This window comes from Homo sapiens, chromosome 14 (genome assembly GCF_000001405.40).
Source record: "Homo sapiens chromosome 14, GRCh38.p14 Primary Assembly".
In the NCBI taxonomy this organism is placed as follows: domain Eukaryota; kingdom Metazoa; phylum Chordata; class Mammalia; order Primates; family Hominidae; genus Homo; species Homo sapiens.
In genome coordinates this window covers 70,484,385-70,497,321 of record NC_000014.9, presented here as the reverse complement: position 1 = coordinate 70,497,321, position 12,937 = coordinate 70,484,385, and the positions used below count along the sequence as shown (strand labels likewise).

At 40.2% G+C, this 12,937-nt stretch overlaps 1 pseudogene; it reads right to left on the bottom strand.

Moving 5' to 3' along the window:
- RNU6-659P (RNA, U6 small nuclear 659, pseudogene) lies at nucleotides 1,112–1,215 on the bottom strand (annotated as a pseudogene).

Sequence of the window (12,937 nt, the reverse complement as noted above, 5' to 3'; positions counted from 1 at the left end):
CCTCCCTCTGGGAGTGCCATGCCAAGAGTAATTCAGATCTCTGTTGGTTGGAGTGCCTAGGTGGGGTGGCTTGAGGCCTGAGTTGGGAGGTCCTGCTCAGTAAGGAGGAACAGGATTGGGTACCTGCTTAAAGCAGCAGTCTGGCCACATTTTGGTAGAGTGGCTGTACTGTTCTGGGGGATCCCTTCTGCCCCAGGTCAGCTCAGACTCTCCAAAGCCTGAAGGCTGGAATGACTAAGGTGCCTGAACAGCAATGGTGGTGGCCCACCCCAACCCCAGGGAGCTCCTTCTTAGGGAGGTGCAGTGCCACTACTGGTAGCTGCTGGAATTCCAAGTCAGTGGGTCTTATCTTGTGAAGTGCTGTGGAAGTGGGGTCCGTGGGCTGTTGCTGCTCAGCCCCCTGGATTCATCCTCTTTCCTAGGGGCATGCACAGGAGTCTAACCTCCCACTTTGCTGGAGCTGCAGCTACGTTTTCTAGAAAGCCTTAGCATCTAAGGCTGCAGGGTCTCCATGCGTGCCTGAGCAGCTGCTATGCCAAGACTCCACCTAGTTCTGTCTGTCAAACTGAAGACTGAAGGCCCTGGTGGAGTGCGTTCACAAGGAGACCTCTTGACCAGCAAGTTGCAAAGATCTGTGGGAGAAGCATGGTTTCCCAGGGCTGCTCATTCACTCACTGCTTCCCTGGGCAGGGGGGAATCCCATGGCTCCATGTCGCTGCTAGGTGGGCCATTGTCCTGTCTTGCTTTTGTTTGTTCTCTGTGGGTAAGGCTGTTTCCTTGATTAACCCCAGTGCGAGTACCTGGATGTTTCAATTGAAGGTATTGTATTTATTCACCCCTTCTCTTCCTCTCCATGAGAGCCATGCACACTATCTGCTTCTATTCGGCCATCTTGGCCACTCCTTTTTTTTTTTTTTTCTTTTTACTATGCTATAAGAAGCAGTTCTTACAGCATTGGTCTATTTTTACTTTTATTTTTGGAAATTAAAAATTATTTATTATGTTATTTTTCACTATGGGCTACTTAGAAACTATATAGCATGTTTTTCCAAACTGTGTATTAAAATTCTTTAGTTTTTAAAAATTTTTAAATAATAATTTTATTTAATATAAAAATATAGAGTACTTCACAAATTTGTGTGTCATCCTTGTGCAAGGGGCCATGATAATATTCTGTGTATTATTCCAATTTTAGTATTTGCTTCCAAAGTGAGCACTGCTAGTTTTTTTAGTTTTTTTTTTTTTAATTTTTGTGGGTTCATAGTAGGTATATGCATTTGTGGGGTACATGAGATGTTTTGATACAGTCATGCGATATTAAATAATCACATCATGGAGAATGGAATATCCATTCCCTCTAGCATTTTTCCTTTGTGTTACAAACAATCCAATTACGCTTTTTAAGTTATTTTAAAATGTAGAATTAATTTATTATTGACTATAGGCACCCTGTTGTGATATCAAATAGTAGGTCTTATTCATTCTTTCTATTTTTTAAAACCTATTAGCTATCCCAACCTCCCCTCCACCACCACGTCCCCTTCCCAGCCTCTGGTAACGATTCTACTGCTGCTCTGTGTCCACAAGTTCAATTGTTTTGATTTTTACATTCCACAGATAAGCGAGAACATGCAATGTTTGTGCCTGGCTTATTTCACTTAACATGACCTCCAGTTCCATCCATGTTGCTGCAAATGAAAATTATAGGAGCTCATTGTTGTTAATGGCTGAGTAGTACTCCATTATGTATATGTACCACATTTTCTTTATCCATTCATCTGTTAATGGACACTTAGGTTGCTTCCAAATCTTAGCTATTGTAAGCAGTGCTGGAACAAACATAGGAGTGCAGATATCTCTTTGATATACTGTTTACTTTCTTTGGAGTATATACCCAGGAGTGGGATTGCTGGATCATATGGTAGCTCTATGTTCATTTCTGTGAGGAACCTCCAAACTGTTCTCCATAGTGATTGTACTAATTTACATTCCCACCAACAGTGTATGAGGTTTCCCTTTTCTCCACATCCTCACCAGCATTGGTTATTGCCTGTCTTTAAGATAAAGGCCATTTTAACTAGGGTAAAAAGATATCTCATTATAGTTTCGATTTGCTGATGATCAATGATGTTGAGCATATTTTCATACACCTGCTTGCCATTAGTATGTCTCCTTTTGAGAAAGGTCTATTCAGATCTTTTGCCCATTTTTTAATTGGATTGTTATATTTTTTTCCTATAGAGTTGTTTGAGCTCCTTATATATTCTGGTTATTAATCCCTTGTCAGATAGGTAGTTTGAAAATATTTTCTTCCATTCTGTGGGTTGTCTCTTCATTTTGTTGACAGTTTCCTTTGCTTTGCAGAAGCTTTTTAACTTGACGTGATCTCATTTGTCCATTTTTGCTTTGATTGCCTGTGCTTGTGGGGTATGCCTCAAGAAATTTTTGCCCAGAGCATTGTCCTGGAGAATTTCCCCAATATTTTCTTGTAGTAATTTCATAGTTTGAGGTCTTAGATATAAGTCTTTAACCTGTTTTGATTTTATTTTTGAATACATTGAGACATAGGGGCCTAGTTTCATTCTTCTGTATATGGATATCCAGTTTTCCTAGCACCATTCAGTGAAGAGACTGTCTTTTCCCCAGTGTATGTTCCTGGCATCTTTGTAAAAAATGACTTCACTGTAGGTGTGATGATTTGTTTGTGGGTTCTTTATTCTGTTCCATTGTCCTATGTGTCTGTTTTTACACCAGTACCATGTCATTTTGGTTACTATAGCTTTGTAGTATAATTTGAAGTCAGGTAATGTGATTCCTCCAGTTTTATTATTTTTGCTTAGGATAGTGTTGGCTATTCTGTGGTTCCACATAAATTTTAGGATTGTTTTGTCTATTTCTCAATTTTTTTTTTTTTTTGAGACAGGGTCTTGCTCTGTCACCCACTCTGGAGTTCAGTGATGCAATCCTGGCTCACTGCAACCTCTGCCTCCCAGGCTTAAGCCATCCTCCCACCTCAGCTTCCTGAGTAGCTGGGACTACAGGCACATGCCACCACACCTGACTAATTTTTGTATTTTTCTGTAGAGACAGGGTTTTGCCATGTTGCCCAGGCTGGTTTCAAACTTCTGAGCTCAAGCAATTCACTCACCTCGGCTTCTTGAAGTGCTGGCATTACAGGCATGAGCCCCTGCATCCTGCCTTTTTTTTTCCTTTGAATAATCTTCACAGATGATAAAAATATAAATTCTATATAAATTTTATGATTTTTTTATTTCTGTGAAGAATCTTATTGGTATTTTGATAGGCATTGCACTGAGTCTGGAGTTTCCTTTGGGTAGTATGCACATTTTAACTATTTTGATTCTTTCAATTCATAAACATGGAATATTTTCTATTTTTTGGTGTCCTCATCAATTTATTTCATCAGTGCTTTATAGTTTTCATTATAGACATCTTTCATTTCTTTGGTTAATTCCTAGGTAGTTAAATTTTTGTTGCTACTGCAAATGGAATTACTTTGTAAATTTCTTTTTCAGATTGTTGACTGTTGGCATATAGAAATGCTACAGATTTTTGGATGTTGATTTTGTATTCTGCAATTTTACTGAATTTGTTTATCAGTTCCAACAGTTTTATTGTGGAGTCTTTAGGTTTTTCCAAATATAAAATTATATCATCTGTAAACAAGGATCATTTGACTTCTTCCTTTTCAATTTGGATGCCCTTTCTTTCCTTCTCTTGTCTGGTTGCTCTAGCTAGGACTTCCAGTACTATGTTGAATAACAATGGTGAAAGTGGCATCCTTGTCATGTTCTAGACCTTAGAGGAAAGGCTTTCTGACTTTTCCCATTCAGTATATACTAGCTGTGAGTCTGTCATATATGGCTTTTATTATGTTGAGGTATGTTCCTTCTATACCTAGTTTTTTGAGTCTTTATTATGAAGGGATGTTAAATTTTATCAAATGCTTTTTTAGCATCAATTGAAATGATCATATGGTTTTCATCCTTCATTCTGCTGATCTGATGTATCACATTGATTGTTTTGCATGTATTGGACTGTCCTTGCATCCCAGACGTAAATCCCCCTTGGTCATGATGAATGATTTTTCTAATGTGCTGTTGAATTAGGTTTGCTAGTATTTTGTTGAGGATTTTTGCATCAATATTTATCAGAGATATTTGCCAGTAGTGTTTTTTTTTTTTTTTTTTTTTTGATGTGTCTTTGGTATCAGGGTAATACTGGCATTATAGAAAGAGTCTAGAAGTATTCTCTTCTCCTCTACTTTTCAGAATAGTTTGAGTAGGATTGGTATTAGTACTACTTTAATGTTTGGTATAATTCAGCAGTGTCACCATTGAGTGCCAGGCTTTTCTTTACTGGGAGACTTTTTATTACAGCTTCAATCTCATTACTTGGTTTTGTTCTGGACAGGTTTTGGATTTCTTCATGGTTCAATTTGGTTTTTTTGAGACAGAGTCTCAAAAAAAAGGAGTGCAGTGGTGTGGTCTCAGCTCACTGCAACCTCCACCTCCTAGGCTCAAGCAATTATTGTGCCTCAGCCACCCAAGTAGTTGGGGTTACAGGCACGTGCCACCATGCCTGGCTAATTTTTTGTACTTTTAGTAGAGACAGGATTTCACCATGTTGGCCAGGTTGGTCTCGAACTCCTGGCCTCAAGTGATCCACCCACCTTGGCCTCTCAAAGTACTGGGATTACAAGCATGAACCACTATGCCTGGCCCATGGTTCAATCTTGTTCTCATAATAGTGAGTTCTCACAAGACTTGATGGTTTTATAAGTAGAAGCTTCCCCTGCTCTTGCATCTCTCACCTGCCCCCACGTAAGACGTGCTTGCTTCCCCTTCCCCTTCTGCCATGATTATAAGTTTCCTAAGGCCTCCTATCCATGCTTCCTATTAATCCTGCAGAACTGTGACTGAATTAAACCTCTTTCCTTTATAAATTACCCAGTCTCAGGTAGTATCTTTAAAGCAATGGGATAATGGACTAATACAGTAAATGGGTACTGGTAGAATAGGGTACTGCTATAAAGATAACCTGAAAGTGTGGAAGCAACTTTGGAACTGGGTAATGGGCAGAGGTTGGAACAGTTTGGAGAGCTCAGAAGAAGACAGGAAGATGTGGGAAAGTTTGGAGCTTCCTAGAGACTTACTGAATGGTTTTGACCAAAATGTTGATAGTGATATGTACAATGAAGTCCAGGTTGAGCTGGTCTCAGATGGAGATGAGGAACTTATGTTTAAAAGGAAATCAGAACATAAAAGTTTGGAAAATTTGCAGTCTGACCATGTGGTATAAAAGTAAAACCCATTTTCTGGAAAGAAAGTCAAGATGGCTGCAGAAATTTACATACGTAATGAGGAGCCAAATGTTAATAGCCAAGACAATGGGGAAAATGTCTCCAAGGCATGTCAGAAACCTACTGGGAAGCTTCTCCCGTCACAGGCCTGGAGGCCTAAGAGGGAAAAATGGTTTTGTGCGCCAGGCCAGGGACCTGCTGCTTTGTGCAGCCTCGGGACTTGGTGCTCCATGTCCCAGCCACTCCAGCCTTAGCAGTGGCTAAAAGGGGCCAAGGTATGGCTTAGCATTGCTTCAGAGGGTGCAAGCCCCAAGCCTTGGCAGTTTCCACATGGTGTTGGGCCTGTGGATGCACAGAAGGCAAGAGCTGAGGTTTGGGAACCTCCAACTATATTTTAGAGGATGTATGGAAATGCCTGGAAGTCCAGGCAGAAGTCTGCTGCAGGAGTGGAGCCCTCATGGAGAACCTCTGCTAGGTCAGTGCCGAAGAGAAATGTGGGGTTGCAGCCCCCATGCAGAGTCCCCACTGGGGCACTTCCTAGTGCAGCTGTGACAAGAGGGCCACCATCCTCCAGACCCCAGACCCACTGACAGCTTGCACTGTGTAACTGAAAAAGCCACAGACACTCTGGGTTTTGAACTTGCATGGGTCTTGTAGCTCCTTTATTTTGGCCAATTTCTCTCATTTGGAATGGGAACATTTAACCAATGCCTGTACCCCAACTGTATCTTGGAAGTAACTAACTTGTTTTTGGTTTTACTAGATGAGACTATGGATTTGGACTTTTGAGTTAATGCTGGAATGAATTAAGACTTCGGAGTATTGTTGGGAAGGCATGATTGGTTTTGGAATGTTAGGACATGAGATTTGGGAAAGGACAGGGCAGAATGATATGGTTTGGCTCTGTGTCCCCACCCAAATCTTATCTTGAATTGTAATCCAAATTGTAATCCCCATGTGTTGAGGAAAGGACCTGGTGGGAGGTGACTGGATGATGGGGGTGGTTCCCCCATGCTTTTCTCATGATAGTGAGTTCTTACGAGATCTGATGGTTTTATAAGTAGACGTTTCCATGGCTCTCATGCTTCTTGCCTGCCACCATGTAAGATGTGCTTGCTTTCCCTTAGTCCTCCACCATGATTGTAAGTTTCCTGAGGCCTCCTAACCATGCTTCCTGCTAAGCCTGCAGAACTGTGAGTCAATTAAACCTCTTTCCTTTATAAATTACCTAGTCTCAGGTTGTATCTTTATAGTAGTGTGAGAATGGACTAATACAGATATGGACAGTGAAGTCTGGACTGAGGAGGTCTCAAATGGAGATGAGGAACTTATTGGGAACTGGGATAAAGGTCACTCTTGTTCTGCTTTAGCAAAGAGACTGGTGGCATTGTGCCCCTGCTCTAGAGACCTGTGGAACTTTGAACTTGACAGAGATGATTTACGTTATCTGGCAAAAGAAATTTTTTTTTATAAGACAGGGTCTCACTCTGTCACCCAGGCTAGCATGCAGTTGCGTGATCTCAGTCACTGCAACCTCTGCTTCCCAGGCTCAAGCAATTCTCCAGCCTCAGCCTCCCAAATAGCTGGGCCTACAGGTTCACACCATCACACAGAGCTAATTTTTATATTCTTTATAGAGAAAGGATTTTGCTGTGTTGCCCAGGCTGGTCTCAAACTCCTGAGCTCAAAGCGACCTACCCACCTTAGCCTCCCAAAATGCTGAGATTATAGGCATGAGCCACCGTGTCTGGCCAGGCGGAAGAAATTTCTAAGTAACAAAGCATTCAAGCTGTGGCCTGGCTGCTTCTAAAAGCTTATGCTCATTTGCATAAGCACTGAAATGAATTGAAACTTGAACTTATATTTAAAAGGAAGCAGAGCATGAAAGTGTGGAAAATTGCAGCCTGGCTATGTGGTAGAAAAGAAAAACTCATTTTCAGCGGAGGAATTTAAGCCCAAGCTGGCTGCAGAAATTTGCATAAGTAAAGAGGAGCCAAATGTTCATAGCCAAGACAATGGGGAAAATGCCTCCAGGGCATTTCAGAGACCTTCACGGCAGCCCCTCCCATCACAGGCCCAGAAACCTAGGAGGGAAAAATGGTTTCATGGGCTGGGCCTCGGTCTTCAGGCCTCACTGCCCTGTGCAACCTAAGGACACTGCTCCCTGCATTCCAGCCACTCCAGCTCCAGCTGTGGCTAAAAGAGCCCCAGATATGTCTCAGATCACTGCTCCAGAGGGTGCAAGCTGGAAGCTGCCAAGACTTCTATGTGGTGTTAAGCCTGTAGGTGCACAAAGGGCAAGAATTGAGGCTTGGGAGTGAAGTGACACAAGCACCCCTGTGGCCACCACCACTGTGACTTTGTTGGGTCACACCTGCAGCCAGAACAGCACTGAGTCTCACCCAAGGCCTGCTGTAACCAATCCCTTGCTACTGTCTGTGTTTACACAAGGTTCTGGGGCTGTACAATTAGCAGGTGGAAAAGCCACCCAGGCCTGTGTTTTTTTTTTTTACTTCAGGAAAGCAAGTTCCTCAAAACCTCAGGTGGGTCCAGAGATGCTCTCTGGGAGTTGAGGACTAGAGTCAAAAGCTTTAGCAGCCTACCTGGTGTTCTATTTTACTGCAGCTGAGCTGGGACTCAAACTACAAGATGCAATCTTTTTCACTATTCCCTCCCCTTTCCAAAGGCAGAGGAGCCTCACTCCATAGCCACCACCATCACATGCCACAAGGAGTACTGCCAGACTACTGGTAATGTTCCCTTAAGGCTCAAGGGCTCTTAAGTCAGCTGTGGTGAATGCTGCCTGGCCTGGGACTCACCCTTCAGTGGGCTCCCCTCCAGCCCAGGGCAGGTCCAGAAATGCCATCCAAGAATCCAGTCCTGGAATCAAGGACCCCAAGAGCCCACTTGGTGCTCTACTTCTCTGTGGCCATGCTGATATGTAAGGTAGAAGACAAACTCCCCTTTACTTTTCCCTCTGCTTTTTTCAAGCAGAAGGAGTTTCTCCCAATAGCCACCACAACTGGTAATGTGCTATGTCTCACCTGAAGCTGGCAAGTCTCAGAGGCTCACCCAAGATTCTTGACATAGTACCTGGGTATTGCTGCTGATTATTCAGGGCTTAAGGGCTCTGTAGTTAGCAGGTGATGAATGCTTCCATGTCTGGGCCCCTTTCTTCAAGGCAGCAGGTTTCCTTCTGGCCCAGGATGTGTCTAGAAATGTTGTCCAAGAGCTAGGGCCTGAAATGGGGGCCTCATGACTCTGGCCAGTGCCCTGTCCTGCTGTGGCTGAGCTGATATCCAAGTTGCAAAACAAGTCCTCCCCATTCTTCCCACTCCTCTCCTCAAGTGGAAGGAAGGACAACCAGGTCTCTTGCAAGCTGTGAAGTCTGATTTTAGAGGAGGAGTGATGCCAGCACTCCCTTAGACACCCTGGCTGGTGTCTCAGTTGGTCACGTGTCCCCCACCCCATCCCCCCCTGCCACCAACCCAGTCCACTGACTCTGGGCCTAGTTCAGCACTAGGACTTATCTTAGAGTTGCAGTCCTTATAGCCTATACTGCCTTTCAAATTTACTTAGAGACATGCAGCACTGTAGCCCTCAGTGGTGAGGTTTGCAGGTACTCAAGTACAGACTGCTGGGACTAGCAGTTCCCCTCTGGCTAGGGCTTATTTAAATGCTCCCTCTATGGGCAAGTGTCAGCTGAGTTCAGTCTGATTTTCCTTTCTGGTCTAACAGGACAGCACTGAGTTTAATCCCTCCAATTGTTGTGCTCTCTCTCCCCCAGCATCCAGACATGCTCTCTGCACCCCACTACAGTTGCCTGGGGCAGGAGTGGTGGTGTCGGGAATTCAAGACTGTTTTTTTCTATTTCTTCGGTCCCTCTTTCAGGGATACAAAGTAATATGAAGATAAAACCAGGTACTAGGAGTGCTCTTGTGATTTTTGGTTCTTATGAAGGTTTTTTTTGTTTTTGTTTTTTTTTCTGTGTAGATAGTTGTTAAATTGGTGCTCTTGCAGTGGTGACAATCGGTAGAGCCTTCTGTTCCACCATATTGCTCCCCCTCTGCTCCTGCTTTCACATTGGGTTATTTTTTAATTTTTAAAATTAATATACTTTATTTTTTGGAACATTATTAGGCTTACAGAAAAACTGAATAGAAAGTACAGGAAGCTTCCATTTACTTCCTGTCTCCCCTACCCACATTCTCCCCTATTATTAACATCTTGCATTGGTAGGTACAGTTGATACAATTGATGAATCAATATCAATACATTGTTACTAACTCAATTCATAGTTTACATTGAGGTTCACCCTTTGTGTTGTACATTTCTATGGATTTGAAAAACACATGTCATGTATCTACCATTGCAGCACAATACAGAATAGTTTCACTCCATAAAAATCCCGTGTATGCCAGCTATTCATTCCATCTCTTTAACACTGCCCCGCCAACTCTGGAAGCCACTGATATTTTTAATCTCTATAGTATCACCTTTTACAACATTGGAAACATAAAAGTATGTCAGCATTACACCTATTCAAGGATATCTTTGTTGCTTTCAATTTTTATCAATTATGAGTAAATCGGCTATAGATATATGTACACAGATTTTTGTGGACATAAGTTTTCAATACATTTGTGTAAATACCTAGGAGTGTGATAACTGGATTATATGGTAAGACAATGTTTAGCTTAGTAAGAAACTGCCAAAATGCCTTCCAAATTGGCTGTATCATTTTGCATTCCCACCAGCAATGAAGGAGAGAGTTTCTGTTGCTCCACAACCCTACCATCATTTCCTGTTGTTGGTGTTTTAGATTGTAGCCATTCTAATAGATTATGTGTGGTGGTATCTCCTTGTGGTTTTAATTTGCAATTCCCTAATGACATGTGATGTTGAGCATCCATAAATATGCTTATTTGTTATCTGTATATCTTCTTTGGTGAAGTATATGTTCAGATTTTTTGCTTATTACTTAATGGGTTGTTTTTTCTTACTGTTGAGTTTTAAGAGTTCTATCTATATTTTGGATACAAATGTTTCATCAGATATGTGCTTTGCAAATATTTCCTTCCAGTTCATGGCTTGTCTTTCCATTCTCTTAACAGTGCTTTTTACAGAACTGAAGTTTTTCATTTTAAAAAAGTCCAACTGATCATTTTGTTCATTCAAGGAACATTCATGCTTTTTGTATGGTATATAAAACATTGCCAAATCCAAAGTCATATACGTTTTCTCCTATATTAGTTTCCAGAAGTTTTAAAGTTCTTTTAAAAAGTTATTTATTTATTTAATTGAAATGTTGTAATTGTATATATGTATGGGGTACAATTTAATGTTTTGATACATATCTATGTTGTATAATGATCCAATCTGGGTAGTCAGTGTATGTATCACCTCATGCATTTACATTCCTTAAGGTGAGAACCTTCAAAAGCCTCTCTTCTAGCTATTTTGTAATATACAATATTTTAATGTCAACCATAGTCATGATACTGTGCAATAGAACACCAGAATTTACTCCTTCTATCTAATTGTAACTTCGTACCCATTGACCAACTTCTCCTATCCTCCTCTTTTCCTCTATCTGAAGTCTTTGGTAACCACTGTTCTATTCTTTGCTTCTGTGATATCAGCTTAAAAAAAATAGATTCCATGTATGAGTGAGATCATGCAGTGCTTGTCTTTTCTGTGTCTGGCTTATTTCATGTATCATGATCTCCTCCAGGTTCATTCATGTTGTCTCAAATCGTAGGATTTCATTTGTTTTTATGGCTGAATAGTGTCCCATTGTGTATATATACCACATTTTCAATATCCATTCATCCATTGATGGACACTTAGATATGTTTCATATCTTGGCTATTGTGAATAGTGCTGCAATAAACATGAGAGTGCATATATCTCTTCAACATATTGATTTCCTTTATTCTGGGTATAAACTCAGCAGTGGGACTGTGAGGTCATATGGTAGTTCTATTTTTACTTTTTTCTGAGGAACCTCCATACTGTTTTCCATAATGGCTGTACTACTTTACATTCCCACCAACAGCATATGAGTATTCTTTCTCTCTATCCTTGCCAGCATTTTTAAAAAATCTTTTTGATAATAGCCATCCTAGCTGAAGTGAGGTGTTATCTCCTTTGGTTTTGATTTGCATTTCTCTGATGATTAGTGATGTTGAGCATTTTTTCATATACCTATTGACCATTTGTATATCTTCTTTTTAAAAATGTCGATTCAGGTCTTTTTGCCCATTATTAGGTTGAAGTATTTGGTTTTTAGCTGTTGAATTGTTTAAGTTCTTTATATATTCTGTATATTAACCTCTTGTCAGATAAATAGTCTTAAAATTTTTTTACATTCTGCAGGTTGTCTCCTCACTCTGTTAATAGTTTATTTTGCAGTGCAAAAGTATTTTAGTTTGATATAATCCTGTTTGTGTATCTTTGCTTTTTTTGCCTGTGCTTTTGAGGTCTTATTTTTCCAAATTCTTGAAAAATTCAGCCCAATATTGGGAAGGATTTTCTTTATGTTTTCTTCTACTAGTTTCATAGTTTTTGTGTTTTATATTTAAGATTTTAATCCATTTTAAGTTAATTTTTGTATACGGTGAGAGTTAGGGATCTGGTCTCATTCTTCTGCATAGAATATCCAATTTTGCTAGCATCATTTATTAAAGAGACTGTCTTTTCTCCAATGTGTGTCCTTGGCACCTTTGTCAAGGATCAGGGTTGTTGATTTGTTTCTGGGTTTTACATTCTATTCTATTGGTCTATGGATCAGTTTCTATGTCACTACCATGATGTTTTGGTTACAATAGCTTTGTAATATATTTTCAAGCCAGGTAGTGTGAGGCCTCCAGCTTCACACTCCAATGGAATCTTTTATGATTTCACATAAATTTTATGGTTTGTTTTTTCTTTATCTGTGAAGAATGTCATTGGTATTTTGATAGGGATTGTATTAAATCTCATTGCTTTGGGTAGTATGGCCATTTTAAAAACATAAATTCTTCCAATCTATGAACACTTCTACTTATTTGTATCCTCTTCAGTTTCTTTCATCAAAGTTTTATAGTTTTCAGTGTAGAAATCTTTCACCTGCATGGTTATGTTTATTCCTAGGAGTTTGCTGTTGTTGTAGTTGTTGTTGCGATTGTAAATAAAATTGTTTTCTTGATTTCTTTTTAAGATAGTTCACTATTAGCATATTGAAATGGTAATAATTTTTATGTTGATTTTGTAGCCTGTAACTTTTAATTGAATTTGTTTATTATTTCTAGAGGTTTTTTGGTGGAGTCTTTAGGGTTTTCTCTATACAAGATGAAGTCATCTGCAAACAGGACCAATTTGACTTCCTCTTTTCCAATTTGGATGCCTTTTACTTCTTTCTCTTACCTAATTGATCTGGCTAGGACTTCCAGTAAAATATTGAAAGTGGGCCTTCTTATTTGGTTCCTGAGCTTTTCCCTTTTCACTATGATGTTAGCTGGGAGTTTGTCATATATGGTCTTTATTGCGTTTAGGTGCATAACTCTATACCTAATTCGTTGAGAAATTTTGTCATGAAAGGATGTTGAATCTTGTCAAATTATTTTCTGCATC